The 7137-nt window shown below is 43.8% G+C and overlaps 1 pseudogene across 1 annotated transcript; it reads left to right on the top strand.

Annotated features, from left to right (window-relative positions):
- Positions 1-1792: 1792 nt before the first annotated feature.
- Positions 1793-2604, top strand: MTVR2 (mouse mammary tumor virus receptor homolog 2; annotated as a pseudogene). The gene has a single exon (NR_027025.1). The product of NR_027025.1 is annotated as a mouse mammary tumor virus receptor homolog 2 (transcript).
- The last annotated feature ends 4533 nt before the right edge of the window (positions 2605-7137 follow it).

Genomic DNA, 7137 nt, shown 5'->3' with positions numbered 1-7137 from the left:
TGCCACCACTCCCTTCTTGGGGTCACATTCTCCACAGAGTTCCTGCACCCAAGGGCTGTTGACATTAGGTGAGCCCCACCTACTCCCTTCCCTTGTGTATTTGAACTTTGTTCTTCTCCTTTCTGCCTCACTATATCCCCTTCCTCCCTGCCAGCTTCCTGAGCTTGTTCCGTGAACCACAGACAAGCCATTTGCATGCCCAGGCTGTGCTGAGCCCTGTTTGCTGTCCTTGGCACCCTGTCCCTGATCTGGGATGGCAAAGCAGGCAGGTGTTCTCAGATGGCTTCTAGGGATCCAGCCACAGATGCCTCTCCCTGTCTTCCACCCCAAGACTCACTTCTGTTTTATCTGCCCCCTGGAGCTTCATCGATTTGTTTGTTTATTTATTTATTTTCTGAGACTCTAGCTCTATCACCCAGGCTGGAGTGCAGTGGCCTGATTTTGGCTCACTGCAACCTCCGCCTCCTGGGCTCAAGTGATTCTCCTACCTCAGCCTCCTGAGTAGCTGAGATTACAGGCATGTACCACCACGCCCAGCTATTTTTTGTATTTTTAATAGAGATGGGGTTTCACCATGTTGGTCAGGCTAGTCTCGAACTCCTGGCCTCAAGTGATCTGCCCCTTGGCCTCCCAAAGTGCTGAGATTACAGGCGTGAGCCACCGTGCCCAGCCTTCTTCATTGATTTGTTCATTGCCTAGCCATGAATTCAGCATGTGGAAGAAATGTTAATACTTTGAGGTAAACAGACAGACTAGGCCACCTAGAGAGCTGGTTGAGTTTCCCATCAATGGAGGTATAAAGATAAGTTGGACACGTGGTGGGGCACCCAGATCAGCTGTCCTTTTCTCTTAATCACTTCATTATTTTTCTAAGAATGATACATGGTTGATATGGGTAGGCTTTGTGTCCCCACCCACATCTCATCTTGAGTTGTAATGCCCGTAATCCCTGCTTGTCAAGGGAGAGAGCAGGTGGAGGTAACTAAATAATGGGAGTGGTTCCCCCATGCTGTTCTCGTGATAGTGAGTGAGTTTTCACAAGATCTGATGGTTTTGTAAAGGGCTCTTCCTGCTTGGCTCAGCACCTCTCCTTCCTGCTGCCTTGTGAAAAAGATGCCTTGCTTTCCCTTTGACTTCTGGCATAATTGTAACTTTCCTGAGGCCTCCCCAGCCATGCTGAACTGTGAGTCAATTAAACCTCTTTCCTTTATTAATTACCCACTCTCGGGCAGCTCTTTATAGCAGTGTGAAAACGGACTAATACAATGGTCATTATGAAGGAGTAAAGCAGGACAGAAAATTACAAATAAATCATCTCAAATGCTACCATCTGGAAAGAAATATGTCTCTTAGTGGATAAATAGATAAATGCATGCATAAATGATGTTATAAACATGATGGAGAGATGGCAGATAGGTAGAATGATAGATGGTCAGTGGTTTTTAATCCTTCTGGAATCACAGACGTCTTTGGTAATCTAACTATAGCATTGACTTCAGAACTCCCTCACCGGAACAACACATGCATACACATAGAACGCAGCTTTGCACAGTTTTAGGGGATTCATGAAAAGCTGCTGCCACAGAATGATTGATGCTCTTTGTCTAGTCCCATGAAAAGGTATATTTAATTTCATCATAGAAACAAAGAACAACTCAGCAAACATGGAAACAGTGTTATAGGCATGCAATATATTCACAACTAGGAGCAGCTGCCACATTGCCTGCCCCAAAGCACACACACCACATCCACACCCACAATCAAATGAGTGAATCAAGCAAAACCAGCTGCTCTGACCTTTTCCATGAATGTATATTTGCTACTTGTTCATTCGTTCTGTCATCTGCTGGCACTTGCTCTCTAGAAATGTGAAAGGTCATGAGCTCATCCAGGACTTGCTATCCTCCCTGCATTTAGACAGTTCCTACCCACCTGATGCTGGCCTGTCTGATGATGATGAGCCTCCCAATGCCAGCCTGCCCCCCGACCCGCCACTCCTCACTGTGCCCCAGATGCACAGTGTTTGTGACCAGTGGCTGCAGGATGCCTTCCACATCAGCCTCTGAAGAGCTGGGGGTGGGTGGGCATGCACCCATGCAAAAGGCTCAGAGACTCCCCCTTCCATAAGCCCTTAGACTGCAGTGCTTGTGCCTTTCCCCATACTGCCTCACCTCACAGGAGGGCCAGGCACCACTTGTATCTCTCAGATGCAAAACTGCCAACCCCTTTCTCCTGTCTTGGGTTGGCTGGCACTGGGGCGGGCACCTAGGGTATAGTCTCTGCCCATGGCACTGGGCCTCCATTTCTTCCACATATGTGTACCTCCAGCTTGGCCAACCCTCAGCCTGGCTGTGAGGCCCAAAGCATCTTCCCTTCCCCTTGGAGTCTCTGGGATTGGGATGAGTGTCTGGCTCCCATCTCCTTCTCCCCTTTTGTGGCTATTGGCAGCTGCTGGCTCAGGGGCATCCCACTTCCAGGCTCTGGGTTCCACTCTCAGGGAAGGGCTCTAGGACCCATTCCTACACCCACCCACGGCCAGGAGGGCCAAGGTCCCATGCTGGATATTTAAATTTAGAGGCTGGCTTCCAGGGTGCATAGATAAATACTCTCTCAGAGTCAAAAAAAAAAAAAAAAAGAAATGCGAAAGGTCAAAAAAAGGGATAGAAGAATGTTTCCAACTTAAGAGCATTCTATTGGCTATTTTAAATTATTTTCCTGTGAATTGGAGACAGATCAACATTGTAATATTGGGACAAAGCAGTGTGGTGTGTGAGGAAAAGCCCAGCTTCACCATTTCTGTGACCTTGGCAAGTTACTGTATTTCTCTATTTCCTCACCAACAGAATGAGTGTAATGACATCTTAGTGTTATGACACAACTAAACGAGACACAGTAAGCAGTTGACACAGTAAATGCTCAATGCTAGTGGTGGTTGTTATAATAATCATAGTCTAGGCAGCTTAAAGACAGTAATAAATAGGAAGTGCTACATTAATGCTAATTCCCTTAAAAAGCAATGTCAGTCAGTGTTCTGTGGGCACACAATGTGAGAACTATTGGGCTTTTTAGCAAGTTAACATAGGATGGCAAATAGTGCTGTGGCCAGCTTTGAAAAAATAAAATCTGCCCAACTCCCTCAGTCTCTTCATTCTCCTTGAACACTTTTTTTTTTTTCTTTTTTTTGAGTCAGAGTCTCACTCTTGTCACTCAGGCTGGAGTGCAATAGCGCAATCTCGGCTCACTGCAACCTCTGCCTCCTGGGTTCAAGTGATTCTTCTGCCTCAGCCTCCCGTGTAGCTGGGACTACAGGCACACGCCACCACACCCAGCTAATTTTCGTATTTTTAGTAGAGACGGGGTTTCACCATGTTGGCCAGGATGGTCTCGATCTCCTGACCTCGGGATCCGCCTGCCTCGGCCTCCCAAAGTGCTGGGATTACAGGCATGAGCCACTGAGCCCAGCCTGATTCCCCTTGAACACTTAATATACTGGTTTCAGATTGGCCAGCACCTATGTTAATTTACAATTGTTCTGTGAATTTACTATTGTCCTACTCTTGAGGATAGGGGAATGTTCATATGAAAAAAAAAACCACTCAGTTTGTAATTTTACATCACCCTTCTCTACATAAAAAAATTCACAGACAAAGATAGTATTTGACCTCTAATACCAATATCCATGTATTCATTAATAATATTGGATTATTAATCACCCTTTGATGTTACTGGTACCACCAGATGCACAACCCTTGAAATGGCGCGCAGAGTTAGTGTCACCTGTATAAAGCACAGAAACTAAGTTCTTAAAGTGCCCAACTAAATCAATTCTTCTTTAACAGAAATGACTTCCTTTTTTTAAAAAAAAGCTCAGAAACTTATCATTCCCACTTTATAAACTACTCACTGATTATCTCTTTATTTGTACAAGGCTGAAGGCAATTTGTGCTGTGTTTCCTTTTTGGATAATTATTTTTAAAAATAGAAATTGAAATTTACTAATGATTTAGGAAGTACAAACTATCATTAGTTGCCAGCAAAGCTAGGCCTGGTTCCGACTACTTGGAGGCTGAGGTGGGAAGACTGCTTTGAGACCACAAGTTTGAGTCCAGCCCAGGGCGACATCGTGAGACCCAATCTCTAAAAAGAAAAGAAATGTATGCCAGCAATGTAATCTTTTTGTTTGTTTGTTCGTTTGAGACAGAATCGCCCAGGCTGGAGTGCAGTGGTGCGATCTCGGCTCACAGCAACCTCTGCCTCCTGGGTTCAAGTGATTCTCCTGCCTCAGCCTCCCAAGTAGCTGGGACTACAGGCGCCTGCCACCACACCCAGCTAATTTTTGTATTTTTTTGGTAGAGACATGGTTTCACCATGTTGGCCAGGCTGTCTTGAATTCTTGGACTCAAGTGATCCACCCACCTCAGCCTCCCAAAGTGCTGAGATTACAGGCATGAGCCATGGTGCCCAGCCCAGCAATGTAACCTTAACAAATTATACAAGGTGTAAATTTAAAAAGCTTCTGCATTTATGTACTGGATGCAGTTGTTGCATGACTTTGTACTATTCGGTGAGCAGCACTTTGTTCTATGAACAGGAGCACTACCTGGTAGGTGGAGCAGTTTCTGTTTTGCTTTTTCTTGCCTATTCCTAATGGCTCATAATGAGACACTACCCCTTTATGTCCAACTGTTTAATATGCCTCAAGTCAGATTTCTTTAAAACATATTCTGACAATGGCACACATTGATTTTTCATCTGGCCCCTGTCTGGAGGGCAGCCAGTAACCAGTAACTGGGTTCAGCAGGGCACTGCTGTCCACTTTTAGGAATCCGTAGTCTCTATGACAGGGAAAAGGAGAGAGTACTAGAAGCCACCACTCCTGGCCTTATGTCAAGGCGGAGACTAAAAGAAGGTTAAAACAAGGCTGGGTGTGGGAGCTCATGCCTGTAATCTCAACACTTTGGAAGGCTGAGGCAGGTGGATCACCTGAGGTGGGTGGATCACCTGAGGTCAGGAGTTCAAGACCAACCTGGCCAATATTGCAAAACCCTGTCTCTACTAAAAATACAAAAATTAGCCAGGTGTGGTGGTTGGCACCTATAATCCCAGCTACTCGGGAGGCTGGGGCAGGAGAATCACTTGAACTGGGGGCGGAGGTTGCAGTGAGCTGACATCGTGCCACTCCACTCCAGCCTGGCCAAAAGAATGCAACTCTGTCTCAAAAAATAAAATATAATAAAAATAAAAATAAAACATAGATGCTGAAATTCTATTCCATAGTTGTCTTTTTTATATATATATATAATATATATAAATATATATATACATATATTATATATAAATATATATAAATATATATATACATATATTATATATAAATATATATACATATATTATATATAAAAATATATATATACATATACATATACAAATGCATATACATATACATATACAAATACATATACAAATATATATGAAGTTGTACATATTTCATATATACAATTGTATATATTTCATATATACAATTGTATATATATTTCATATATACAATTGTATATATATTTCATATATACAATTGTATATATATTTCATATATACAATTGTATATATATTTCATATATACAATTGTATATATATTTCATATATACAATTGTATATATATTTCATATATACAATTTATATATTTCATATATACAATTTATATATTTCATATATACAATTGTATATATATCTTATTTCATATATATACAATTGTATATATATTTCATATATACAATGAAAACCCTGCCAACTTGCAGAATCTGGTGTGGTCGGACAGTGACCCTGGTCACGGGTCATCTGCTGCTGCTATATTTAGGACAGCTGCTCCTCCAGGTAATTTTTCGTTTCCCCTACCCCTCAAGTATGCCTCTGTGGTTCCCCGCCTGGAACTCCAGCCACGATCCCCTCTGTCAGTACTACTGTTGCCAAACTGACATCAGTGAAGGGGTGACTGATTCGTTCAGTAAATACTTCTTGAGTGCCTACTGGGTGCCAGGCGTTGTCCCTAGATTGGGGAGACAGCAGTGAGAAAAGAAACCCAAATTCCTGCCTCCGTGGTGCCTACATTCTAGTAGAGGAAATAGACAACATTTTAGTCTAGGGAAAAGGGCCATAAAGAAAACAAAGCCAGTTAGGGGCATGGCATGATAGATACATGTGTGTGCTGGTCTAGCTAAGGCATTCAGGAAAGCCCTCTCTGATGGGATAACATTTGCTCAGTGTCCAGAATGAAGTGGGGAGAGGGTTAGACCATGCAAAGCTCTAGGAGAGAGAGAAGGCCCTGGGGCAGCAGTGTGCCTGGTATTTGAAGAACCCCGTGTGTGGTTTTAGGTTCTATTTTAAGTGTGGGGTGATGTAAGGAAGGGCACAGTTCCCTTCATCCTACTCTTTCACTTCCCATTAGAAAGTGAGCTCCATGAGTGCAGGAGTTTCATCTCTTCTGTTCGTTGCTGTTTCCTAAATACTCAGAACAATGCCTGGGACACAGGAGACACACCAGAGATGTTAGTCTAATGTGTCAATGCACATCGTGAACACAAGCCCAGCGTGCATGAGAGATGTGCTGTATGTCTGGGGTCAGCCAGAGGAATTTATAACAGAGGAGAAAAAGTAAAATTTAAAACCCGATGCTAGGTTGGGCATGGTGGCTCATGCCTGGAATCCCAGCTCTTTGGGAGGCTGAAGTGGGTGGATCACATGAGGCCAGGAATTCAAGACCAGCCTGGCCAAATGGTGAAACCCCGTCTCTACTAAAAACACAAAAATTAGCTGGGCATGGTAGTGGGCACTTGTAATCCTAGCTACTCGGGAGGCCGAGACATGAGAATTGCTTGAACCCAGGAGGTGGAGGTTGCAGTGAGCTTTGACTGTACCACTGCACTCCAGCCTGGGCAACAGAGCGAGACTCTGTCTCCAAACACACACACACACACACACACGCTAAATATAACCGTTCCCAGAGTCCTAAAGAAAAAATAGGCCAGGCATGGTGGCTCACGCCTGTAATCTCAGCAATTTGGGAGACTGAGGTGGGTGGATAACTGGAGCTCAACAGTTTGAGACCAGCCTGGGCAACATGGCGAGATCCTGTGTCTAAAA

Source organism: Homo sapiens, chromosome 17, assembly GCF_000001405.40.
Source record: "Homo sapiens chromosome 17, GRCh38.p14 Primary Assembly".
Taxonomy (NCBI): domain Eukaryota; kingdom Metazoa; phylum Chordata; class Mammalia; order Primates; family Hominidae; genus Homo; species Homo sapiens.
The sequence above is the reverse complement of the archived record's forward strand: the minus strand, read 5'-3'. Positions and strand labels throughout refer to the sequence as shown.